We start from the raw sequence: 27,932 nt of genomic DNA on the forward strand, positions 1-27,932 counted from the left end.
ACCTGGACGCTGGAAGCCCCACCTGCCCTCTGGGCGTGTTCCCTTTGCAGATGCCTATCAAGAAGCCCAGCGCGCAAAGCCTCCCTGGGTCAGCTCTGGAGCCGAAGGCCTGGGAAAACAAAACCAAAAACAAAACCAAAAACGGTGGGCGAAACTGGTGGCCAGGATCAAGGTATCATAGGAAACAGGCTGAAGGAAATGACAGAAATGGGATTAGACGAGTATGGGGGGGGTGTGGGGAGGGGAGAGAGGAGAGAGACCCACACAGTAGCAAACACAGTGCTTACTCCATTCCAAGCGTTCAATCCTCACAACAACCCTAAGAGATACGGGGTGTTTTCATCCCCATTTCAGAGATCAGTAAACTGAGGCACCGGAAGAAATCCAGCGGCCGGCAAGTGGCAGCTGAAGGATTTAAACCTGGGCAGTCCAGCTCCAGAGCCTTAGAAAGCACCTGGGGTGGGCGGCTATCTTTTTCCTTCCTCGTTTTTATTTCTGGGTGGGGGGTATGTGTCTAGCAACTGTCTCCCTCCTGTTAGGGCCCCATACAGTTCTTGCAGAATTCCCACCATGTAGTAGCTGTTGCCTGCTGCTACAGGAAAAGCCAGGTCAACCCCAGACCTGCAGGCAGATGAAGGCAGGCTTGGGACCCCTTCAGTGAGAATGTGCTCACCGGGAAGTCACATGCACCACAATGGCAGCTGGAAAACCTGAACTTTGCTATGGTTCCTGCTGCAGAGCCTTCTGGAGAGGCGATTCCCCGGCCTCTGGTCAACAGTCTTCCCAAATCATTCCCAATGGACTTACGACAGCCAGAGCCAGTCCTGCTGCTGGCCCCCAAAACCTAACAGAGCAGCAGCCTTCCAAACAAACACCTGTGGCGGGATTAAACGCCTCTTCCCCGAGACAGCTCCTGTGGGTCACCTGCTTTAACTGTCTGGAAAATACTGTTGCTGTATTCTCATCTGCTGAAGCAGCTTCTCCCCCTAAGGTTTCATAGAGGCCATACTTCTTCTTTGTAAAGGTTTTAAAACCACCCACCCTGGCTTGAAATGTAATTGTTTTCACGTTTACATGTTCCCTTGTTTCAATTTTGCAAGTATCTCCAAAATGCATAGTAACTACCTGACTTTTTTTGCCAGTTACGGAAAAACTTAAGGGGCTGTGTTCTGCACCTGGTCCCCTAAACATATGAGGTGGGCTCAGACGGGCTTCTCTGAACCACACCATTGTTCCACAGCTGGTCCCCTAAACATACAAGGTGGGCTCAGACGGGTTTCTCTGAACCACACCATGCATTCCCCATTTGACCTACTGGAGTGCTTTACAAACTCTAGGCTGCATGAGAAACATCAGGGGAGGGAGACTTTGCAAATGCAGATTCCCAGAGACACTGCTAAGGGACTTGGAGGCACTAGGTCTGGGAGAAATGTGCATTCTAATAGGACCCCGTTGACTGGGATGTGGAGGGCAGTTTGCTGGAACTCAAGTCAGTCAGTCATAGAGACAAACCAGTCAAGGAGTTTCTGAATTTTAGCTTCCAGTATAAAAGATCTCACTGTCCCCAAATTCGGTTGGCCAAACAGCAGTTCTTAATGGACTGCTGTATCTTAAATCGCTATTTCATTTAGGAATACACATTTTATTTCTTCCTCAGATCTACTCAGCAAACGCTGAGCAAGCAAAGTTCACAGGACCGCCTGTAAAAACATGGTGCTTTGTCAGGTGCACGGAGAGGAACAGAGCCCTGTGGGACAGTGTCCAGCACCAAGAACCAAATCAGGAGGCTTGCAGACACAAGTGCTCCTTTCAGCTGGAGCACAGGCTCCCGCAGGTGGCAAATCTTAAAAGAAAAGTGCTGCCTAATAATACTATCAGCAACCTCCATTTACTAAGCAATGACTACTACGTGCTAACATGACTCTTACACTCTATCGATGTTCATCCACTTGCCACCATCCTATAAGAGACTCTATCACTAGCTGTTTTATACAGCTGTACAAATAAAAAAGATTTTACACTCAGAAAGTGCCAAGTTCACACATCCAGGAAGCATATGTGCCTACAGAGGATGGGTTGCTGAGTGTCATGTTATGGAATTTAGTCTCTACTCGATAGCAAAGACTTGCAACCAAGCTAAATGCCCATCAATGATAGACGGGATAAAGAAACTGTGGCACACATACACCATGGAATACTATGCAGCCACAAAAAAGAATGAGTTCATGTCCTTTGCAGGGACATGGATGAAGCTGGAAACCATCATCCTCAGCAAACTAACACAGGAACAGAAAACCAAACACTGTACGTTCTCACTCATAAGTGGAAGCTGAACAATGAGAACATATGGACACAGGGAGGGGAGCATCACACACTGGGGCCTGTCAAGGGGTGGGGGTAAGGGGAGGGAGAGCATTAGGACAAATACCTAATACATGCGGGGCTTCAAACCTAGATGACGGGTTGATGGGTGCAGCAAACCACCATGGCACATGTATACCTATGTAACAAACCTGCACGTTCTGCACACGTATCCCAGAACTTAAAGTAAAATAAAAAAAATTAAGAAAAAAAAGAAACACAGACCTACTGTGTATTAGGAGGAAGGCAATGCCTGTATTTTACAGAAATAACCTCAAAGCCCCATGAAGAGGGCAGAGACAGCAGGTAGGAGGCGGCTGAAATCACAGAGCCAGGGAGGAGGGCCTGAGTGCAATGTGGGGGCCAGAAGAGGACAGGCGGAGGTCCGGACTGAAGTGACTCATGGGTTGTGGGGGTGGTGGTGGGAGGGCAGGAATTATTGTAGAGTTTCTAACTTTGAGGATGCCGTGGCTTCCGACTTGGGTGAATAACGGCATCATTCGTCAGCCAGGACGTTCACGGAGAAGAGCAGAGACGGGTTCTGACGGTTCTGCTGGTGAGTTCTGTTCTGGAAATGCTGCTGCCACGTGGAGATGTTTTGCAGGGGATGGAAAGGGAGTTGTGAGTGTGAGGCCATGGGTGTGGGCACTCAGATCCGTGTGCGAGGCCATGGGCGCGGGCACTCAGATCCGTGTGCGAGGCCATGGGCGCGGGCACTCAGATCCGTGTGCGAGGCCATGGTGCGGGCACTCAGATCCGTGTGTGATGCCATGGGCATGGGCACTCAGATCCGTGTGCACAGCGTGACCGTCCAAAGCCACAGAGAAAGACGAGGCCACGCTGGGCACAGATGGCTGAAGAGCAGGACTGGGGGATTCTAACCTCTACATCTGAGAAAAGCAGGGCAAAGAAGAGGCCAAGAAAAGTCATCTGGGGAGGAGCCAACGGTGGGAAGTGAGCCAGCCCTGCCACCCCAGGACTGTGCAGAAGATGGAGGAGACAGAGGAGCAACCAGGAAAGGAGTGGGAACATCCAGAGACAGAAGTCACCAAGGGTGGTAGAGAAACGTACTAAAAAGAAAACATCACGAGTAAAAAGCAAGAAACAACCAACCAAAGCAGGAGATGGAGAATATATGCGATCCTTCTTAACAAGAGGTTAAGAAAACGTCCAGCATCTTCCGGCCACCACTCTTAAGAACACAGGCCACTGCAGCAGGTGAAGAGAGGACAGTGGCCCTGCCAGGTTGGGGAACTTCCCCTGTGGGTTGCTGTGTTGCGTTCCTGTCTTGGATGCTGGGTACAAATGAAGCAAGTGGAGAAGGAAAGGCCAGCATAACAGCATGAGTTCAGAGAACTAACCCACCTCCACCAACCAGTCAGATAAATGGGAAGATGCCACCGGACAATTGCAGAGTGACGCATTTCTTAAGATGGGCAAAGGACAGATTAGATTTATTCCTGAGCTATCACTGCTTCTTGTGTTTAAATACCTATGAGGAAATTCTACGGACTTATGGGATCCCCATACTGCTCCTCAAACACACTTGCAGAAATCAGAAACTACACACGTAGCGGACCTGCCTTGCACGTAAGTGCTGTGCTTGTCAGTGTGGAATGTGAAGTTCGTGGTACAAGGAGGCAATTCCTGAACTCCAAAAACTTACTGTCCAAAGCTGTGCACAGCACAGATTCCTAGCTTGATACCTGTAGGGTGTGTTTTGTCATTATTTATTTTTCCCACCCATTCAAAGCACAAAAACACTAACTGCAGATTCCATGCCTGTTTTAATTTATAACAGGGCTCCCCAGTTCAAAACTGGGTTTTGTTATTCGCACTCTAAAGCTCTCTTCAACAATTTCTGCAGTGGTAACAACTGAAAGAGCTAAATAACTCAGAAGTAAGGAAGTCTGCTTGTCTTCCTAACTCTTGTGACATGAAAGGCATTTCTGCCTCAACTAAAAGGCTAAAATACTCAGCACTGGGGAAGAGAGAGCTGATCACATTCCTTCTAAATAGGAGGAAAAGTGTATGAATCATGATGAGGACAAAAACAGAGAAAACAGGCTGGGCGTGGTGGTTCACACCTGTAATCCCGGCATTTTGGGAGGCCAAGGTGGGCAGATCACTTGAGCCCAGGAGTTTGAGACCACCCTGGGCAACATAGTGGGACCCGCATCTCTACTAAAAATACAAAAGAAATTAGCCAGGTGTGGTGGCACGTGCCTGAAGTTCCAGCTACTCAGGAGGCTGAGGTGGAAGGATTATTTGAGGAGTCTGAGGCTGCAGTGAGCCGTGATCACACCACCACACTCCAGTCTGGGTGACAAGAGCAAGACCCTGTCTCAAAACAAAACAAAAATATACAGAACATCTTCCAAATGTTTCCTATGGTCTTGAACCTGTTTTAGGGGATCTCCATAGATTAATTAATGTTGCAATCATCTCCTGAGGCAGGGGTTGTTTTATCCAACACTGTACATGGGGGCTCCAGGGCACTGCTCTGCTCAACCAAGCACTGGAATCCCTCCCTAGGCAATCAGAACCTGGGTTCACCTGCATGGCTCACATCCATGGAGGCAGGGCCCCGCAGAGGCAGCACAGAACCCTGCAGGGAGGAGAGTCCGCTGCAGGTGCCAGAGGGCGGCTGGCCGATGAATTTAAGCCCACTGACTCAACTTCATAGACATCAGGGCCTGACCTGCTTCCCTCCTCCTTCCCTGCTGTGTTTGGCTTGAGGGTCTACTAGGGATGGCTCCCCGTGCATCGAACACAGTAGACAAACTCGCTAGGCGGTATAGACCCCCATGGGATTGTCTGTTCATCCCAGCCACCAGGAGCAGCTCAGTGCCTAAGACTTGAGCACATTCTCAAGGAACCAGGTTCATCACAGAGTCCCTCTCTGGCTCCTGAGAATTTCCTCTTCATTCTCTCTCGGAAAATTCTTCCTGGAAACTCTGCTAACTGCTTTAATGCAAACCAAGCCCCTGCTATAAGTAACACCATGATTGCCATTTTAGAAATGGGGAAACCAGGGCTTAAGCAACGTGCTCAAGGCCACAGGGCCACCAGGAGCCTGCGTTCACACCTGGCACTGCCTGGCTCCAAACTGCTGTGACTGCAGCCGACCCCGCTCCCATCGCAGACCGCAGATCATGGTGACTGATATGGTTTGGCTGTGTCCCCACCCAAATCTCATCTTGAATTGTAGCTCCCCAAATTCCCATGTGTTGTGGGAGGGGCCTGGTGGGAGATAACTGAATCATGGGGGGCAGCTCCCCCATACTGATCTCATGGTAGTGAACAAGTCTCACAAGATCTGATGGTTTTAGAAGGGGTTTCCCTTTTTGCTTGGCCTCATTCTCTCCTGCCGCCGCCATGTAAGACGTGATTTTCAGCTTCCGCCATGATTGTGAGGCCTATCCAGCCATGTGGAACTGTGAGTCCATTAAACCTATTTTTCTCATCAGTCTTGAGTATGTCTTCATCAGCAGCATGAAAGTGGACTAATACAGTGGCTCAAGTGACTACCGAGCTATCTTGCTGTCCCCTCCTTGCCAGTGCCCCATCTGGCTAGTGCCCCGTTTGCTTCTAAAAGTCTCCTCGTTTAAGCAAAGTTTGTGGTCACCGTCCCCACATATCCTGTAGCCTCTGATGAGGGCCTCAGTGTCAAAATTCCCGCCACTCCCTATGCCTCCTCACCTGGAATCCCCATCCGTATCTTAAAATGCAACTGTTGCTATTCAAATCTGTCTCCTTCCAAACCTGTTCTTCCTCCTCTGTGTCCCTAGTCCTTTTAATGTGTCCCTGGGGACACTTCCAAGGAAGCCGAGGAATCAGGACCAGCCCCTCTATCAACTAACTCTTCAGTCCTCCATTAACAACAAGCCACCTACAATTTAATATTCTTGCCAATAGGTGGCCAGGTCTATGAGGACCAAAAAGACAATATGGTAAATTATGATGAAAGTAGATAAACATAAAGCATTATTTATGATTGATAATAAATCTTGTAAAAGGCCATTTTCAGACAAATCCAGCATGATTTGACTCATGTGAGGTACTTGAAGTCATCAACTTCATAGAGACGGGAAGGAGAATGGTGCCAGTCAGGGGCTGAGGAGGGAAGGGAGACTTTAACGGGGAGAGAGTTTCAGTTTTGCAAGACGAAAAATGTTCTGGAGATGGATGGTGGTGATGGGTATATAACTGTGTAAATAAACTTTAGGCCACTGAACTGTATAATTTAAAATGACTAAAGTGGTAAATTTGATGTTACATATATTTTAAAACCATTCTTAAAAATGAAAAATTTTTTCAATAAAATATCTCAATGAAACCACCCAAAAGTTCTTGTCAATCTCTTGCATTAACTGCTAAACGTGAGCTAGAAATCTACCAGGTCTCATTTGAAGTGCATGTAAGTGGCGCGCATGTATATATTTAGCCAGGTGTCCAGGAAAAATGATTCTGAGAAACAAGACTCCAAAAAAAGATGCTAAGGAAGACAATGCAAGCAGGCGAACCTTCTTCTGGGCTAAAGAGCTAGGAGAGCATACCGAACTGCTGGACCAATGTATTTGTCCCATAAAAAAAGGACTGGAAATGAATAGAAAGTCACTTGGTTTGTGGAAAGGCAGAGCTGTGAGTGTGGGAGCCAGTGTGTGCGGCCATAATGCTAGAGACCTAAGACTGAAAGTAACTTGTATTATATGAACAATATTCACAGTTACAGACATGATGACCTGCAGCAGAACACTGACCTAGGAGAAGGCACTGCCTCCTTTCCGGAACACTGGCCCCATCATCATCAGTCACCCTTGCTAACTACCAGTGGTTTCTGAGAGCTTAAAATTCTTTTCAAATATGCACTTAAAATGATATTACATTAATCTCATGTAGTTTATTCATTGCTCCCTCTTCAACAACAGCCCCTTTAGAGACACGTAAAGAATGAATCAACTTCAAGAGAAGTCAGATATTAACTAGAAAGAATTATTTTAATTACCTAAAAGTGGTCAGTCTAGTGTTGAAAACACTTCAAATCAATTTAATGCACGAAAATAACTAATAAAATTGTTACAAAGTACTTTATAAATTTAAAGTGTCAAATAAATGGCCTATAATCGGAATAATCATCATTAGATAAAAAAATTTAGCAGCCACAAAGTGACCATGATGAAACTCTATCATTTTATTCCCAACATGGAGGAAAGGAAACACTAGATAGATAAAACTGAAATAATGAGAGCTAAGTGCCATTAAGCTGTCACTCTGAAAGGTCAGTGCTCAGTAAGGGCCAAAATCAAAACCAAAACCAAAATTCAAGCAAGACCCAGGAAACTGACTGGAATTTTACTTTATTTGTATGCAGTATCTTTTGTAAGTAATGAAAAAGATGCATGATTTTGAGCAATAATTACAGGTAATATACTATTCAACAGATAAGACTCAACAGACTGTTTACAAACACTTTTTAGAACAACGAATCAGGTCTGGAAAAATGGTCAATGTATATTTTCTGATCTGTTTCCTAACACTAACTAATTTTCATCACTACCCAATGAAAACACTCTGGGGAATAAGAAAAAGATCGGACATGAGCTGACTTCTATTTCTTTGCTAGAAAATCAAAAATCTGTATTCAAAGAGAACAGGACAAAGAAGAAAATACTGCCCAAAATGTTAAATATACACTAAATGTTGTTCATCACTCTTTTTTAAGACGTGGGAAGCCGTAGGGTCTGGGGAATTAAGCAACAGAGAAAATGTCAAGAGCAATGGAATTGAACCCCAGGCAGATCTTAATAGCTTAGCTAGTTTCTCCACCTATAAAAATCAGGACACTCTTACTGCTGTTTCTGTTAGGTAATTAACAGTCATAAAGCATGCTGAAAGTAGAAACTGCTAAATAAATAATGACTGCAAAAGAATTTTAACCATAACGCACTAAGTAATAAGGATAAAACATGGGCTTTTAACTTGACCATTTTTGTTTTCAAATTAATAATGCAAACAAGAGTCCAATCTTGTTAAGATGGCTCAGCATAGTGTTAGATAGCAAGTTAAATTTAGTCATTACAAAATACAGAAGGAATCTTGCTTCTCCAAGAGCAGTTCACCCAACTCTAGGTGGAGCTGTGAAAATAAAGCCATGTTCTATTCCTGTAAGCTACAGAAATGTTGCCACGTTGCCTGTGTCTACACTTTCGTGAATTCCAGAAAGAGGCCATTCTACTTGAAAACCTACTAAGCAATCAACTTTTTGGGAATTTCCATTTATTTCACATTGATTTTGGAACCCTAAACTTCAGTAACGTTTTAAACAATTTTCTGGGAATTGGCAACACAATGATGTCAGCCACAATGACTGTTTTCCACATTTCCCAATCCCCTGGACTACATATGTATGAGATTGTAGGCTTATTTAAGACCTTTGCAGACATTTTATAGATGCATAGTGAGGAAATAAAAATGGAGATCTGAGCACCAATTCTATGATTTTCCTTCTAAACTCTTTATTCCAATCATGGTATTGAGTAAGTCATAAGATTTAAACTATGAACTAGGAGAGCTAACTTTATTTTACTATTCATATCTATTCATTTTTGCATATATACTTGAAATAACTACTGAGTATTATGAAATCCTAGGAAAAAAAACCAAAGAATTATAAATCACAGAAAGATGGGAAAGTCTTGGAGATCAAATCCATTGTAATTATTTATCACTGAAAACCCACCACCTAGAAAATATGGTTTTCTACTTAAATATAAAGTATGATCAGGATTCTGTTCACAAAATACAGCATTCTGTGAATTTTCTTGCACCTGTAAATACGCTATAGCTATAAAGGATAGTTTCAACATCACTGAACAAACAAGCCTAAATTCTGTTTATTAGACATTTGGGGAGAAAGTCATCCTCCAGGTACTATTTTGAGGAAGAATTAAACAACTACGAAAGAAATCAAAGTAAAGGATATAACCACATTAAAATACAAATGTACAATTTTGTCCTGATAATAACCGAGACCTGGAATCTCAGTTTTAGTGACTCACATTAATTTAATTGTGACATTTGCTTTTCTAATCATAGATGTAAAAAGACCACTGTGTTCCAAACATAATTATCTTGCCAGCATCTCATTGCATGAAATTATTAGTTAAGATGAGAGCCTCTGACTACATTTATGTTTGATTAGTTTCACTGATTTAAGAACACGGAATAATTTAAGATCTGTTTAAATGAAAGAGAAGTAAGGCCCCTTCTGAGAAGGGCTGCTTTCCTCCACACGTTGCCATTTCGACAAACTCTACATTCCCCCCAGCGACTGCTACCCCCAGCGAGTACGTACCTTCCAGGTGAAGCCACATTAGCCGCCCCTTCACACTCACAACGGAGGCCACACACAGTTCTCCTGGATTCCTGGGGTTCACAGCTTCAAGTTTCATGTTCTTTGTGAAACCTCGACTGAATGATGTCTGCAAGAGAAACGAGACCAACACTGAGCCAGTGCTGACGCAGCAGGACAAAGCTGGGCAGATGAAGAAAGAGAAAGAAATGCACGCACACGCATCTTACATCGACAAGACAGGCTCACGTATGTGTTTGTCCTTCCCACTGTTCATGAAGAAAGAACCAGGTGGTCTTCATTTTTGTTTCCCAGAAATTAGAACTATGCCTAGCACATAGTAGGTGCCTAATACTATTTGTTAAACGAGTGAGAGTATGAATTCATTCTCTTTCCAGTTCCATATGCACCCTTCCTTCTTTTTTTTTTTTGTTTTTGAGACAGAGTCTGGCTCTGATGCCCAGACTGGAGTGCAGTGGCGTGATCTCGGCTCACTGCCAGTTCCGCCTCCCGGGTTCACGCCATTCTCCTAACTCAGCCTCCTGAGTAGCTGGGACTACAGGCACCTGCCATCATGCCTGGCTAATTTTTTGTATTTTTAGTAGAGACAGGGTTTCACCATGTTAGCCAGGATGGTCTCGATCTCCTGGCCTTGTGATCCACCTGCCTCAGCCTCCCAAAGTGCTGGGATTACAGGTGTGAGCCACCGTGCCCGGCTGCACCCTTCCTTCTATGGGATCACTGAAGTACACACCATTTCCTCCACCTTCCTATACCCATTGATAACAGTTCAAGTGGGAACACGGAATTTCCATCCGGCATCATTTTCCTTTACAGGAAATGGGAAAAATATCCTTTAGAATTTTTCGTAGTAAAAGGTCGGGTGTGGTGGCTCATGCCTGTAATCCCAGCACTTTAGGAGGCTGAGGCAGGTGGATCACTTGAGGTCAGGAGTTCAAGACCAGCCTGGCTAACATGATGAAACTCCAACTCTACTAAAATACAAAAATTAGCTGAGCATGGTGGCACATGCCCGTAATCCCGGCTACTCGGGAGGCTGAGGCAAGAGACTCACTGGAACCTGGGAGGCAGAGGTTGCAGTGAGCTGAGATCTCGCCACTGCACTCCAGCCTGGGCGACAGAGTGAGACTCTGTCTCAAATGAGGAAAAAAAAAAAAAAGATTTTTTCATAATAGTGTAGTTCTTTTTGATGATGAATTCTTGTGGTTTTATTTGAAACTATCTTTATTTTCCCTTGTTCTTTTTGTTTATTGCTATTATTTTCCTTTGTTCTTTTTGTTTATTGCTAATTTTGTTTATTGCTATTGTTTATTGCTATCTTTTTAAGATCACTTTAAACATTTTTACATAGAGTAAAATTCAGTCTTTTGGGTATACTGTTCTCCGAGGGTAGGGCTGTGAGACCAGTGAATTTCATTATGCAGCTACAACCACAATCAACACACAGAACCATCCCTTCACCCCCAAAATACCCTTGCATTGGGGACCTTTGGTAATTAGTCCCTCCAAAGCACTCAGTTCCTGGCAACCACCAATCTGTTTTCTGTTCTTATAATTTCCTTTATCTTTCTTTATATTCTCATTATGAGAAAATTTTCCTGTATAACTATAGTTCTTAAACTTTAGGATCAGAATCCCCATTTTATTCTGTAAGTCATGTAAATGGACTCAATATCTGTAGCCTTTCGAGTCTGGCTTCTTTCACTTAGTATAATACACTGAGATTCATCCATGCTATTACATGAAATGGAAGTTTGTGCTGCTTTCTTGCTGAGTAGTTTGTACAGATGCACCAGAGCTTATCTATCCACTTACCAGTTAAAGGACATTTGAGTCATTTTCAGTGATTGTGATTAAAGCTGCCATAAACATTAAACATTCTGGTACAACTTTTCATGTAAACGTAAGTATATTAATCTGCTCAGGCTGCTGTGGCAAAATACGACAGACTGTGAAGTTTAAGCAACAAAAATTTATTTTGTCATGGTCCTGGAGGCTGGAAGTCAGAGATCAGGGTGTCAGCAGGGGTGGCTTCTTTGGAGGTCTCTCTCCTTGACTTGTGGATGTTGTCTTCTCCCTGTGTCCTCATGTGGTCAGGCCTCTGTGTGTATTTAGCAGTTTCTACTTTCAGCATGCTTTACGGCTGTTAATTACCTAACACAAACAGCAGTAAGAGTGTCCTGATTTTTACAGGTGGGGAAACTAGCTAAGCCATTAAGATCTGCTGGGGTTCAATCCCCATCTTCTTTTTTTTTTTTTGAGACAGGGTCTCATTCTGTCACCCAGGCTTGAGTATAGTGGCATGATCTCAGCTCACTGCAACCTCTGCCTCCTGGGTTCAAGCGATTCTCCTGCCTCAGCATCCTGAGTAGCTGGGACTATAGGAATGCCCCACCATGCCCAGCTAATTTTTTTATATTTTTAGTAGAGTTGGGGTTTCACCATGTTGGCCAGGCTGATCTCGAACTCCTGACATCTTGGCCTCCCTAAGTGCTGGGATTACAGGTGTGAGCCACTGAGCCTGGCCCCCTCTTTTCTTATAAGGACGCCAGTCACACTGGATGAGGGTCCATCCATAGGACCTCATTTTATCTTAATTACTTCTTTAAAGACCGTATCTCCAAAGACACTCACATGCTGAGGTATTGGGGGTTAGGATTTGAACATATGAATTTGAGGGAGGCACAATTCAACCCATACCATTAAGTTTGCCTGTTTTTAGAGATGGGACCGCTAGACCATATGGTAAATGAATATTTAACCTTCTAAGAAGCTGCCAAAATGTTTGCCAAAGTTGCTACAGCATTTTGCATTCCCATGAGCAGTGTGTGAGAGTTTTAGTTGCTACACATCTTCATCAGCACCTGGTATTGCCAGTTTTTCAAAATCCAGCCATTGTAATAGGTATCTAGTGGTGTCTCACGGTGGTGTTAGCTTGCATTTGCCCTGCTGACTACTGATGCTGAGCATGTTTTTTTGTGATCCATACATCTTCTTTGATGAAATGTCTTTTTTAATTCTTATTCAGCCACCTCTTTTGGGTCTTCAATTCTACATAATAATTGTCCCTCAGATCCTGAGATTCCATTTGTCCTTCATTTCCCTGCCCATCTTCTGTTTTTCAGACAAAATAATTTCTATTTTCAAGGTCATGGACTCTTTCCTCTCTCGTTCCGATTAAGCTAATCCAATAAATTTGTTGATTTCAAATATTGTATTTTTGAGTTCTAGAATTTCTCTTTTTTATAGTTTCTACTTCTTCTCTGGGACTTCCTATCTTTTCATTCATTATGAGAATATTTTCCTTTATATCTACAGTTCTTAAACTTTAGGATCAGAATCCCCTTGAAAATCTTTTAAAAATATAAACTTCTGGGCTTCTCCCCAACGTTTTGATTCAGTTGATTGTAGGTGGAGCCAGAGAATGTGTATTTCTGAAAAGTGCCCAGGTGATACCGAGGCTGCTGGTCTCACGACCACCCTTTAAAGGACCACTGCTTTACATCACACTTAGTTACAATAGGGGCTTGAAAATACTTGTCTGCTCATTCCAACACCTGGGTCATGATGGGTTTAGTCTATGCTTGGTTTAGTCTATGTTGATTATCTTTTCTATTGATAATGAGGCGATTTTCCCATTTCTTCTTTTCTATTGGGAATGAGGCTGATTTTCCCATTTGTCTTGAGCAATGTGGGAATTAAAGAATGGATATTTTAAATGTTATGTTGTGGCGACTCTGGATTACGTTATATTCCTACCAAAAGTGTCAACTTTTCTATTTTATCAAGCTATCACCTTGGTTGGACTGAAACTACAGACTCTGCCTCTTGAGAAGCAGCTCAAATCTCAATTGAGTTCACCTCTCCTAGGCTGCTTGGAGTCTTCCTGGCACCTACATGATTCAGGAATCACCATAAAAACATAGACAGAATTTACACATGGAATCTGGGGTTCCCGATCCTGGCTCTCCACTGTCTGAGTCTCCCCTCACTTTCCAGGATCTGTGGTTGCCCAAATTTTGTAATATGGTTCATCAGGCCAGAGAGACCATGAATTTTATATCACTCTCCCACATGTCGTCAACTGTGGCTGCCCTCAAGCTAAAAGTCTGAAAAAAATGGGACAATTCTCCCATGCTATTCCCTTCGTCCAGTCTCCTGTTCTCCTGCCTCCTTTTGCTCACGTTCCACTACCTTCAAATAGTCGTTTTTGGTCCTGTGTCCAGACTTTAGAGCTGCTCTACAGGCAGAAGGGTCAATTCAGTATGAGCTTACTCAGCCAATACTGAAAACATTATTTTAAAATAAATATAAAATTTTCCCAAATTGCCAACTACTATAAATTATCATCAGACATGTTATAATACTATAGATTTATATACTTATGGATACCAAGATAAACAGGTTCCTGTAAGTAACAGAGACTACTTCTTTTTCTGACTTGTGGAAAGAAATCAAGGTAATTCACATTTACATGTCTTTTTCTAAAACTTAATTTGAAAAATATAACTATATCTTTATGTAACCTGAAAAAAGTGATCCAATGCATGTTAAGAAATCAACTGGCTCCATGCCTTTACATTTCTTTGGAAATAGGAAGCAAAGATCTTCTAGGTGGGCTATTTGTTTCTGCAAGTTACCCAGCCTCACGCACAGCTATTATGTATTGAGCTTCCTTCTGAAAATACAATCCCATCGGCCGCTTGAAAAACCTCTAAGTAAGTTAAAATGCATTTATCCTTCTTAACAAGGGAAAGCTACAACCACATAACCTATTTTCATTTCAATCCACCGCTTGAGGGTAATTTATAAAGGATCAATAGCAAAACTGTTACCTGTGAGTTTATTTACCAAGCATTTTACTGTGTCGATTCCTTTCATAACAGCCTCTGTTAAACATCCCTGGGGAAATGTCTTCCATGCATCCAATTCCACACTAGCTCTCCTCTAATACACAGGAGATGTGTGATTAAAAAATGAACTCGTAATACGCATTCCGTTAAAGAGCACTTATAGCAAGCTAACAAATTCAGCAAAGCATCACCAATGCGATGCATACGTCAACAATCCTATCTATTACATAAACGGAGTGCCAGAAACAAAGACATTCCTCCTGAACATGCCCGCAGATTCATCCAAACAGAGAGCATCTTGGTGGACAAATCCTGAAAGCTCAGAAGCCACCTGGGAATGTGGTGATTTACTCTACCATTCAAAGCCATGTGGACAATTCCTGGCTGCGAATGGGAACAGAGGACTGATAAAAAGAAGCTTTAGTGGGGCAAGGACTATACTGCCATAGAAGAAATCACTCTTTAAATATAGAATGAAAGAGAGAGAGAAGGATTTTCTTCCAAAAGTTAATGATTCGGGGAAGGAATATTTCTCTTTGTACCTTGTCAGGTACAAAACACAATCTCAAAAGGGTTTTAGGGTGCTATAAGATGTTTCCACGGCCCTCAATGAAAGCAGACAAGCCAGCAGATTCTGTGACTGTGACATCAATACGGTGAGAAGTCAAGACAGCACAGGACATCAAAGCTTTCAGAGTTAACCAGCTGCAGTCCTCATGGGGGCATGGCTATGCAGCTGGCCCTGTCACCTAAACACACACCACTCGGTTCTTCAAGATACAGAGAAACCGCTCTTGTGCAAAGGCGACATCATTCGGTGGCAATCCTGCGGAGAGCCCGGACTGGGAACCACAAATTCTATGTGTAAATTCTGCCTAGATTTTTGACTGCTCCCCGGATCATGCAGGTGCCAGGCAGGCTCCAAGCAGCCTAGATAAGGAGAGAACTCGACTGAGATTTGAGCTACTTCTCAAGGTCGTTCAATCATAGAAGGATCCTTGATTTCCAACCTTGCTGCTGATGTGCTTCTGTATTTACAAGTACCAGCTGACCCAGTCATCAACCTACTGAATCCTCCAAACTCTGATTTTGACTTGCACTCACTTTTGAACTTCTGCCTATGCAGCCACCCCTTTCTCGCTTCGTTTTTCATATTGTTATGTCTAGAGTGCAATGACAGTGTGGCAGCAACGAAACCGCAAGCTCCAGGAAGACATGCTCAGCAAACAAGTCTCTGACCAGCGAGTGCTTTGCACTGTTGTTACAGATCTCAAGTAAGAGGAGGCTATAATCTTTTTGTCTTAACATAAATTAACTTTCCTAACTAAAAGCATGTTGAACACAGTAGACTATACATTTAAGCCTAATTCTTAAAACAGAGATAATTGATATCTCTACTCACAGTTCCTAGGATTGAAGAATTATTGATAATTTTGTAAACTACAGTCATGTACTGCATAGTGACGTTTCAGTCAATGATGAAATGCGTATACAATGGTGGTCCCATATGATTATATGGTTATACCACATAACCTAGGCTATGTGGTATAAGCTATACCATCCAGGCCATGGATGAATCTCAGAGCTGTATGTAGTATAGGCTATACCATCTAGGCCTGTGTAGGTACAAGGTACGCTCTATGACATTCACACAACAATGAAGCGGCCTGATGATGCATTTCTCAGAACATAACCCCATCATTAAGCAATGCATGACTGTAGTTTATAAAACGACCTCCAATAACTCTGTAAGTACACGCATGTGCACACACACACACACTCATTGCCACTTTATGTGTCACAAAAATCCTATTATTATGTTCCAATTAGCTCTATATGAAGCAGGTAGTAGCTTAAAGTAAGCAAAGCACAGAAGTCACTAGCATCTAACTGGACATCAAAGAAAGTATTAAAGCCATCAAAATAGGTAAGACAGCATTTTAAGACTAGGCCTCAAGAGCAAAGACTCTCCTATCAGTGGGTTCGTGGATAAGATGCTACACAGCAAGTGTTCCTCTAACAGGGGAACAGATGGCCAGCCGTCCACCAAAACGTGTCCTCTTCACTCCAGAGTTCAGAATCACAGCTGGGCAGCAAGTCCAGGCAGGACCCACTTACTGGCCTCACCTGTGACATGGTGCAGCCAGGCAAAGAGCTCCCACCAGTAGAAAGTAAACAGCAATAACATACACTGCTATCAGGCTGCAGTATTTAGAACTAGTGATACCTTCTCCTCTATTTCTTTCCCTTCTGCTGGCTAGGTTACTCACCATAATGAGAACCACCTACTAATCAGGAAGACCCTGGGCTCTTCCATAAGTGAGACCTGGCCATCACCTTTTAGCATGTTCCAGCCACTGTGCATTTATTAGTCAATTTGTTAGCACAGACCAGCATCACCCTAGCAAATATACAACCTGAAAGCAGAGCTTTCCAAAAACTACAGACATTTTGTAGTTCTCCAGTGCACTGTAATACTCCAACCGTGCTTCATCAATAAAAAGCAAGTTATAAAACTTACGGTAGACAAAATCTATGATTTTTAAAAATTAGGTAAGAGAGAAGCTTCTTACATTTCGGAAGCAGAAGGGAGGGGCTTCCTGCGCCCCATGCTGCTTGTGATAATCTGCCCAGTCGAAGTCCTGGCCAGAGTAACCTGGGAATGACAAAACACAGATAAAACAGCGCACATTAAGCAAAATCCCAGACAGATGAGCAAAATCAGAAGGGGTGAAAGTTTAGGCTCCCAAAAGATAATGTCCTCTGATGCCTAACAGCACTTCAGATTTCATAAGCTCAGATGAAATATTTTGGAAAAATTAAAGTACTAAACACAGGTAAACCATCGTTACTATAACACACTATCTGAAGCCAGGTGAGGAAGGGTGGAACTTACCCATGGCGGCACCAGCCGGTGGGGGGATTTGCCATAAGGGGGAAGAGCTGAGCCAGGATATGGCATAAAATACACTCTCACCACGCACTGTGCAGAGATAGACAATGACATCTCCCTTCATAGGAAGCCTGAGTTCGTGGGAGCTTACTTTTCGGTGTCTTTATGGAAAACATGAGATTTTACTGGGAAATAAAAAATTAAAAAAAAAAAAAACAAAACAGTACCAGGGACGACTTTTTAAAAAGTAACAGAAGGTAGAGAAGAGGGCAACAAAGAGTAGAGGGTTTGGAGAGAAAAGCTCCCAGAGAAATGAGGGAAGGAAGGCAAACGTTGCCCTGGAACTGACCTGCTGAGGCTGAAGGAACATGAGAATTGCAGGAGGCAGGTCTCTGCTGCAAAGCTCTGGGGGCAGTTTGGATATACTGAGAGAGGCATTTGAACAACAACTCTTCATATACACTGAATGTAACCAACTACAGATCCTACTAAAGTGGCTTCTTTCTTTCTTTCTTTCTTTCTTTCTTTCTTTCTTTCTTTCTTTCTTTCTTTCTTTCTTTCCTTTCTCTCTCTCTCTCTCTCTCTCTCTCTCTCTCTCTCTCTCTCTCCCCCTCCCTCTCTCTCTCTCTTTCTTTGTATTCACTTCATTTTTGGGGGGAAGATGCAACTATATAAATGTCCATCATGGCCATGGCAAGACAGGAGACGAGGTGAGAGAAAAGAGGACTGAATTATACCTAAGAAAGGCATAACCCAGGGAGGAAAATGCCTCTTAATGGGAGTCTCATCGGCACAAAATCAAACCAATGGACAGGCAAGGAAAAAGGAGTGAGGTGTCAAAACCTTCCTGTAAACAAGCAAAGGAAAAACACAGTCCAACTGTGATTCACTGAAGTGTGTAAATGCCCCTAGTATCTTCATTGACAGTGCTCTCTGTTGGTGGAAATCTACATGAAGTAAATCTCTAAGAGATTTCTTATGTTTTTTTATCCAAATCCCCCAGTTTCTTTTCCCCATATTGTCACAGATTCTATGAGTGCAAACTCACTTATCATAAGGACTTTTAGTTACTAAATCAGATGCAGAGGGACTATGGAAATTCTTTATTAAAGAAACTCAACATAGGCCGGGCGCGGTGGCTCACGCCTGTAATCCCAGCACTTTGGGAGGCCGAGGCGGGTGGATCACAAGATCAGCAGTTCAAGACCAGCCTGGCCAAGATGGTGAAACCCCTTCTCTACTAAAAACACAAAAATTAGCCAGGTGTGGTGGTGGGTGCTTGTAATCCCAGCTACTCGGGAGGCTGTGGCAGATAATTGCTCAAACCCGTGAGGCAGAGGTTGCAGTGAGGTGGAGGTTGCAGTGAGCCGAGATCTCCCCACTGCACTCCAGCCTGGGTGACAGAGCAAGACTCCATCTCAAAAAAAAAAAAAAAGAAAGAAAGAAACTCAAGACACTGAAGATACTGGTTGCCTCCACTTGTATTCCCAAGCAAAGAATACGAATTATTTTCAATAAGCAATCTCAATATATCCTATTTTTTGTTGTTGTTGTTTTTTTTTTTGTGATGGAGTCTCACTCTGTTACCCAGGCTGAAGTGCAGTGGCATGATCTCGGCTCACTGCAACCTGTGCCTCCTGGGTTCAAGCAATTCTCCTGCCTCAGCCTCCTGAGTAGCTGGGACTACAGGCGCCCGCCACCATGCCTGGCTAATTTTTATTTTTCATAGAGACGAGGTTGCACCATATTGGCCGGGCTGGTCTCGAACTCCTGACCTTATGATCCACCCACCTCAGCATCCCAAAGTGCTGGGATTACAGACATGAGCCACCCCGCCCAGCCCTATATATATATATATATATTTAAGATGGGAGGGTGACAGTTAAGCAAAAAAGCAGCTGTGCTTCTTGGGTCCCAGAGACTGACCCGTGACCTTCCCATATCCTGCTGACCATCAGTGGCAGGTCCCCTTCTTTCTTAAGACAGCTGTTTCATTCTATAAAGACTGAAAATTCTTTCCAGCCACTTTCAAAGAGGTTCTTCGAGTTCTTCCACCTGCCCTTTCTCCTGCCCTTCTCTCTAAAGCTCCCCTCCAGCTAAATGGCTCCTGCATCAAAGATTTCTAGACAGGACCAGAGCCGACTTTCTTCTGAACCTTTCTGAATACAACAGAACACATCTCACAAACAAGGTAATGTAATGTGAGTTTCTCTACAATTAAGAAAACCCTCCACTTTGAGCGTAGTTTCTCTGGAGCTGTCTGGATCAAAGCCTCATATTACTGTAGAAGAATTAGCCTCAAGACACGTCAAACGGAGAAGTTTCTTAACAGGACAAAGGGCCTGGAACTGGAGAAGAGGGTATCTGGGTTTAAGACCCAGCTCTCCCAGTAATGGGAGGGAGCCAGGAAAAAGTAGATTAAATCTTCTGTGCCCCACTTTCCTCATCTACAAATTCACAAAATAAAAAGAAAAGCGTCTGGGTGCGGTGGCTCACACCCATAATCCCAGCACTTTGGGAGGCTGAGGCAGAGGCAGATCATGAGGTCAGGAGTTTGAGAACAGCCTGACCAACATCGTAAAACCTTGTCTCTACTACAAATACAAAAATTAGGCGGGAGTGGTGGTGCATGCCTGTAATCCCAGCTACTCAGGAGGCTGAGGCAGGAGAATTGCTTGAACCCGGAGGCGGAGATTGCTGTGAGCCAACATCACACCACTGCACTCCAGCCTGGGCAACAGAGCAAGACTCTGTCTCTCAAAACACGAAATAAAAATAAATAAAATAAAGTAAATAAAGAGAAAAGCTTTTAGATCCCTCTGCTGTCACATTCTATGATTCAGAACCACCATCACTAATTATTTTACTGTTGCTACTAAGGATTTTTTTCCCCCAACTCTCTGTGGTTAATTCCCTTCTCTGCTCCTAAAAGAAAAGTGTAACGTGGCTGGATGACGAGCAGTTACCTAACAAGGCATTCCTCTAAGAAGACTCACGACTCCATCTGTGAAGACACATCTCTGTAACACAATGATCCCATCTGTCTGGGGTTTTGGAAGACGGACTTTGTTAAAGTCAAGATCTCCTTCTGTTCCACTATCTCTTCCTGGACCTCTGCTATTTCCTGAGTTAATTTCAAGAGTGAAGAAAACTAGATGAGATCCCTGGGGTGGGGAGGAGGGAAATGAGAGAAAACTATATAGAAAAATAGCAAAGCATTTTCTGACACAGCCTGGCATGTGGGTAATCTTTATGGTCCATACATGTTCAGATAAAACTTTCCCACCTGGAAGTCACCGCTATTCCCTACACAAAGACATTAAGCTGGGCTTTCTATAACTAACTTCTAATGAGCTTCAACCCACTCTCTAAAATGTCATGCCTCGTGTTTTCTTGGACGTACATTCAGGCCTTCTATCTATTCACCCAGTCCTCCACACTCTGTCTATGGAGAGCCATTTCTAATCTGATAATTTCTAGATAAAATCAAGTCTTGCTGGCTATGTTGTAAGCAACAGTTAATTATTCCGTCCCTAGAACAATGTTGCTCATTTCCCTGACATTCCAACAGCTTAGACTCCTCTGTCCCCTCCTCCTCCTCCTCTTCGGGACCTTTACTCACTTCATCATTTCAAATTCTTTTCCTTTGGGCTGATAATGAGCTGTCTTTGTAAGGCAGTTTTGTGACAGCTCAGAAAATAACTGCGACATAAAAACAAATTGCTGTGGATGGTATAATAGAGATGACAGGGTCAATTATACTCATTAATCAACAAAGACAGAACAAGACGTACTAAGGCTTAACTGTGGCCAGGAAAACACATTTTAAACCTGGAGGGAGGGAGGAAAACAGCAGAGGGGAGAAGAAAATGAAAGGAAATAAAACCCCTTAGGCAATTAAACTTTGCAGCAAGCTTCCCTGAGAGACTGTTGAACCACAACCATTAGACTTATTTAAGCTTTTATTAGTGTTTATTCTGAATGAAGTTTCAACCCTTACAGGTCCAAAAGGGAAGAGGTTGATGACCCATTTCCCTCGGATACAAACTAATTGACATAAAACAGCTCTATTTGCACACATCATTATTGGCAGTGTAAATGGACAATTCTTTGGAAAAACTATTTGGCATTAAAAAAAAACTCCTACCCTTTGACGCAACCATTTCACTTCTGGGAACTTATCCCATAAAAATGACCCTAAAAACTGAAAAAGGTGTTATACATGAAGACACTTACGGCATTATGACTGGTAACACTGGAGGAAAAAAAATGAAATAACCTTCTGTGCAGTAATAGAAAATGAGATGAGACTTCTCCAAGTCTGTAGAATGCCACACAGGCATGAAACGGCACGTAGTTTTAAAAAATTCATAAAAAATAACTGCTATGGCTTTAGATGAAAAGACTGCTATAAACATATACAGAATTATTAGATTCATATAAAATATGCAAAGATGAAGACCAGAGAAAATGTACAAAAACCTTAATAATAAATATTACAATAATTGTTGGGTGGTGGGACTCTTGGCTACTTTCTTCTTTGACCTCTTTGTATTTTTCCAAGTTTTTAATAATGATCACAAAATTATTTCATTAATAAAAAATTATTTGAAAACACAGAATCTTTGCCCTATTTTAAATGGTAATTAAGGCATTGGTCGATCAATCCAGAGTCCACTCAGCACATGAAATACACCATGACTGCCTCCCCTCAGCCTTCCTCCAGCTTTGCCAGTAGAATCCTGACTTTATCCAGTTCCTGGAGGAAGTGAATCAGGACCATCTTGAGATGCTCATGGTAGCCATATGCCCTTTTCAGGAGGCTTAAGATGGGTAGGAGAAGGGTTTACAGAAAAAAATTCTCTCTCTAACAAAAGAGACATGCAGGAATAAAAACTCCTCTTCTATCCTGGGTGGCTACGAAAAATACATATACAATCTTAATAAAAAATAAAAATAGCAAAGGAATACCATGTTTGCTATCTACCTGGCTGGCAGAATGAAAAACAACACTAAGAATCCACCATTCTAAAGGCTGTTAGGAAGCAGGCGTTTTTATGTGTTTGTGGTGGGAGTGGAACTTTAAAAAACCACTGTAGATGTCAATTTGGTAACGTGTCAAAATCCTCAGGCTCCAGCGACTACTGGGAGTAACAGACACACAGCCTGACACCGATAACACAGTGAGGTAAAAGCAAGGATGGAGGGACACTCAGAGAGTGAGGGAAGAAGGCTCTGAAGATCTCACTACTGCAGAGCAAACAGCTCCATAGAGAGATCTTCCTCACCCCAGAGAATGTTTACTCTATTAAATGTTAGAAGAGCATGTGTAAATAGCAAGCTTATTTAGTTTTCAGTTCCACCTCCCTTGGAAAGGAAAAGTGATACAATCATCTTCAAAGTCAGCAAATACCAGGACCCAGATATGTGCATAAATGTTGATGCAACAGAACCTAAGTTCTAAGAACAGGTTCTCAGTCCTTTCTGAGAAAGTTTCACAACTCACAGAGCAGCACTTCGGGGCATTTTTGCAATGCCTTACTCTTCCAATTGACAGCTGATCTTTCTCCTTTCAAGCCCAAGTTTTTGTTGTTTTTGAGGCAACCAACATTCCTTGAACACCCACTAAAGCCAGGGGCTCTGTGGCAACCCTTCAGGGGATGAATGTCCCATGGCCCTGGCAGGGAGGCAAGATTGCACAGACCTCAGCTGGCAGAACCTGTCCCAGGAGCCAGTCTGTCTATTCCAGAAAACAACTTTCTCAACATTGCCTCCACCTGTTTCACAAAGGAGTTTGTGTACATTGCAGGCTTACAGGCAGGACAGCAAACATCAGCGACTGACTAAAGCATTTGTTCTTGTCGATGCTGTTTGCTAAAAAACTACAACCTCCCTCTTGAAATCTTCTAGCTACCTCCACAGTCTTGGGTGATGTTCAGTTTCAAGCCTTCCTTGATACTGGTCTTTAAAAGTGACACTTTCATTCATTCCCAATTGAATTACTCTGTGTTTTTACGTTCATGGAACAGTGCAGGAAAAAAACAAACAAACAAACAGAAAATAAGGAAGAGAAACAAAGAAGACAATAATATAAGCACTAGCCCTACCGCCTTCCTTATCTTTTAAAACATTATGTTGAGAAGTATTTCATCTTGGTCATGGTATGACACTTAATATACTTCTCTGCTGAGGGAATGTTCTACATGTTATTCTGAATTATAAACACAATGTTACGGGACACAGGTATGTGCCCAGGATGGGGTCTAACATCATATAAATATCAGCTGTCAATGGCAAAAATATCTTACAGATCCTGAAGAATGAAGTGAATTTAAGGATAACATAAAAGGTTCTTCTTAGTTTTCAACAATCAGAAGTATTTTCAGATATTAAAAATGACCTAGAGAGTTTTACTATACCAACTCTTTTCAATCAAAAGTGACCGTTTTGCTCAAGAATGAATCAGAAAGCTAGAAATGAGACTTGCTTCCAAGTCCAGTAGCCGGGCGGGACGATCTGACAGTCTCCCTACAGATATCAGATGAAATATAATTTTGAAAAATTACATAGCCCAAGTCAAAAGAGAAGAAAATCTCCAGACACCAAAAAAAAAGTAAAAAATAAAAAACCAAAACCTGAAAGAGCCCTGAAAGCCAGAGCTGAGCAGTGAGCAGCTCACAGAGGGCAGACAACAGCCTGGTTCAAGGGAGATGAGCAGGAGGACCCGAGGCTACTATCTACAGCTGGCCCCAGGCAGCAGCCCAGTCTATGAAAATAGAACCAGACAAACTAAGCTGACTGGATCAGAGAGGCAGCAGAGATGGGCTACCTACCTGGGGTTCTGAAGAAGAAAAAAGGAGATCATGCACTTCCCCAGGCCAGTGGCACACACGGATGTGGGGTCCAGCTTTCCAATTCCGTGGGACACAGACTGAGAAATTAATATCAAATTCAGCCACTCATTCCTTGAATAATCAGGGACACCCTCATGGACCAGACATTGTTTTTGGTGCTGGGGATGCAGCAGTGAACAAAAGAGATTAAAAAAATACCCTTGACCCTATGAAGTTTATTTCCTAGTGGATGGATAGAGACAGTAACAAATAAATAGAGATGACTTCAATCCAGGGCACATGGAACTGCCACATAAATAACAACCACCACTGAAATTAGTTCATAATCAACAATCACAAACCACATAAGGAAACTAACCAACTTGAGGGAGGGCAGAGAAATGAACTTTAATGCAAAATGCCTTATCAGGAAAAAAGAGTGCTTCCGCCAGTCTAATGATCCTGAATCTGAACACCTTAACACAACTTCAAACACACACACTCACACCACACACTACATACCACACACACACACACGCAACCACACAGCACACACATACAGACACATACCACACAGACGTACCACACATACACATCACATATTAGATACACACACACACCCCACATACACACCCTGCACAAACATATCCATCACAAAAACAAAGAGAAGCTAACAAATCCTCAATCTCAAAATGATATTTTAAAGTACCATTTGGAAATTTACAGAACAACAGATAAAAATACAGTGAGGATATAGAATATCTGAATACTTCAATAAATAAACTTGACCTGACCAACTGATGTGGCAATAAATCTGAAAATACAGCTGAAACAGACAATACTGTAAAATACATGTACATTACCAAAACTATCTCACAAATGGTTACCCTGACTAAACTTATATCCACGAAAGGAAATAAATTCACACTCAATAAAACACCAACAACATCAACAGCTCCAGATAGGTTTATAAGACAGTTTTCCCAAACTGTCAAGTATCACAAAAGTCATATCTTACACAAACTGTTTTTGAGACAGTTTAGAAAGGTAGCTAGATATGACATAAATATACAAAATTAGTGGTACTCTCTTATACCAGCTGACAGCCAATAAGAAATGAAAAGAAATCCCATTCACCACAGCAAGCAGAAGGATAAGGTACCTAGGAAATATTCCAAGAAAAGATTGCAAGCTATAAAAAGATAATATAAGAAAATATCAATTTTTCTAAGTCTATAAATTCAACACAATGCCGAAATCCAATGGGACTCTTTATAGAACCTTACAAACCAATGCTAAAATTAATGTACAAGAATGGCCTGCCAAAAATAACCAAAAATTTTGAACAAAAATAAAGAAAAAGTGACTCAACAATAGATATCAAGACTATATTATTATAAAGTAATAACAATTTGTTCAGGGCTATACAAACAGACTGAAGAGGCAGAATAAAAAAGAACAGGGTTAAGAGTCACACCCACAAAGGGATGGATCCATGACAGTGGTGGCATTATAAATCAAAGAGGAAACAGCAGACCATTCAACAAACGATGCAGAGACAAGTGGGGAAATGAAAAACTTCAATTCAATTCAAGCAAGAAAAATAAGATAGTTTTCCTTCCTCATGCCAATACAAAAATCAATGTCAAGTAGGTTACAGAGCTAAACATGGAAAAGTAAAACTGCAAGTTTTAAAGAAAACACATCAGTAGGAAGGAATTCTAAAGGTATATAAACAATGCATACAGGGAAAGATGGCTGTTTGACTACATTACAATTTACTACTTCAATATGCCATTAAAAAAAACCATTAAAAAGCAAAGAAACAAGCCAGACTAGGTTATCATATGTGTGAAGCACATTGCTGAGAAAGAATTCATGTTAGAATATATAAACTACTTCTACGATCAAAAGAAAATGGGCCGAAGAAGAAAACCACAGATGGCCAGTAAGGGTAGGATGCAGTGCTCAACCATCCTAGTGATCAGGACCACCTCACTGAAACGAGGAGATCCACTTCACTCCCCTCAGAGGGGCCATGCTTAATCCTGGGAATACCGCAAAACAGGGAGGGTGACACAAAATGGGAATGCTCAAACACCATGTTAGAAATGTAAACTGACACAACGTGGAGAGTATTTGGTACTATCTACAGAATTCCAGCAATTCCACATTTAGGAATATCCCCTGAAAGCACCTCTTACACTTGGGGACATTGGATGTACATTTGGGGATCACTTGCAATAGGGAAACCTGGAAATCCCTTCAATGTTCACCAATAGAAAATGGAATTTTCAAATATTACAGTATATTCGTAAAGCAAGCAAAATGAATAAACAATCTACATGCCCCAACATGGAAAAAAATCTGAAAAATGTTAATAAATAAAAAGTTACATAAAGATATGCATAGCGCATTATATATGTATATAGTCAAATAAGGTCTATTTTAATTTGACGGTAATAAAAACAATGATACTGGTAAGGCATAAACAAAGAAGCCTATGCAGTCATGTCATAAAAGCATGTAATCTTTAGGAGGGTGCTCACCTTGCGGAGGATGAGGGGTGAAGGGCTAGGGGTGGGAGAGAATGGGGACAGAGCTTCAATTCATTCAACCTCAACAAATACCTACCAAGTGCCACCCACTATTCCAGCTACTGAGGATGACTAGTGGGTGATTGACAAACACCCCTGCTGCTGTGGATCTTTCATTTTAGTGGGGGAGATGAATGAAAAACAAGACAAACAAGGGACGTATATATGACTTATTTGTGTATTATATGATAAGGTCTGTGATATACTGCAGGGAAGGAGATGCAAATGTTGGGAGTGGTGGTTTGCTACTGAGATTGAACAGGGAAGCCCAGAAAGACGACTTCAAGCAGTTAGCACTTGAGTCAAGACTGAGTCAGGTGACAGGTGTCTGCACAGAGGGAACAGCAGGTGCCACGTCAGGGAGATGAGAGTGACTGGGACAGACTGAGTGGGGAGTCGGGAGATGACGCTGGACAGGGCAGTGGAAGTCAGCACGGCTGGGTGCTGTAGGCTGTTGCCACAGTCTTGACTTGGACACAGGGTGGGGTGGAAGGCACTGGACAGTCTGAGCAGAGAGACCCATGGTTTATGTTCTAACACGATCGATCTGACTGCAGTGTTGAGAGACCCCTGAGTTAAACAAGGGGCTGCTGCAGGAACCAGGTGAGACTCACTAGCGGCCTGAAACAGGTGGCTGTGAGGAGAAGTGGTGAGACTCTGAAAATGTGGACAGGACTCCCTGATGGATGAGGTATGGGGCATGAGAAACAGAGGACTTAAGGATGACTTGGTCTTCATTATATCTATAATGCTTTCGTGTTTCATATTTCATTGTTGAAAAACACGAATCAAACAAGGCAGAATGTTAGCATCTGTTGAAGTAAGGTGGTAGGGCCATGAGCGTCTATGTTATTTTCTGCCCCCTTTGGTATGTCTGAAACGTGAGTGACAAAATGGATTAAGCTCATCAGTCAGTGTCTGAGGTTTTTCTTTAGGAAAAGAGAATACGACTTACGGTTCCCTGCTTTGTGTCTCAATAATAATTAAAATACACCTTTACTTCCTAAATTGTGTTAACAG

At 42.5% G+C, this 27,932-nt stretch overlaps 1 protein-coding gene across 12 annotated transcripts in view; it reads right to left on the reverse strand.

Moving 5' to 3' along the window:
• The window catches only part of SFMBT2 (Scm like with four mbt domains 2), a 252,867-nt gene that overhangs the window by 52,069 nt on the left and 172,866 nt on the right, over positions 1-27,932 (reverse strand). For all 12 annotated transcript variants that reach the window (NM_001029880.3, NM_001387890.1, NM_001387889.1 and 9 more), the window contains 2 exons: positions 17,163-17,245; positions 9,719-9,845 (listed from right to left, as the gene is read on the reverse strand). In NM_001029880.3, coding sequence (NP_001025051.1) covers positions 9,719-9,845; positions 17,163-17,245 — 210 coding nt within the window. The remainder of the gene's footprint in view (positions 1-9,718; positions 9,846-17,162; positions 17,246-27,932) is intronic.

Source organism: Homo sapiens, chromosome 10 (genome assembly GCF_000001405.40).
Source record: "Homo sapiens chromosome 10, GRCh38.p14 Primary Assembly".
Lineage (NCBI taxonomy): Eukaryota > Metazoa > Chordata > Mammalia > Primates > Hominidae > Homo > Homo sapiens.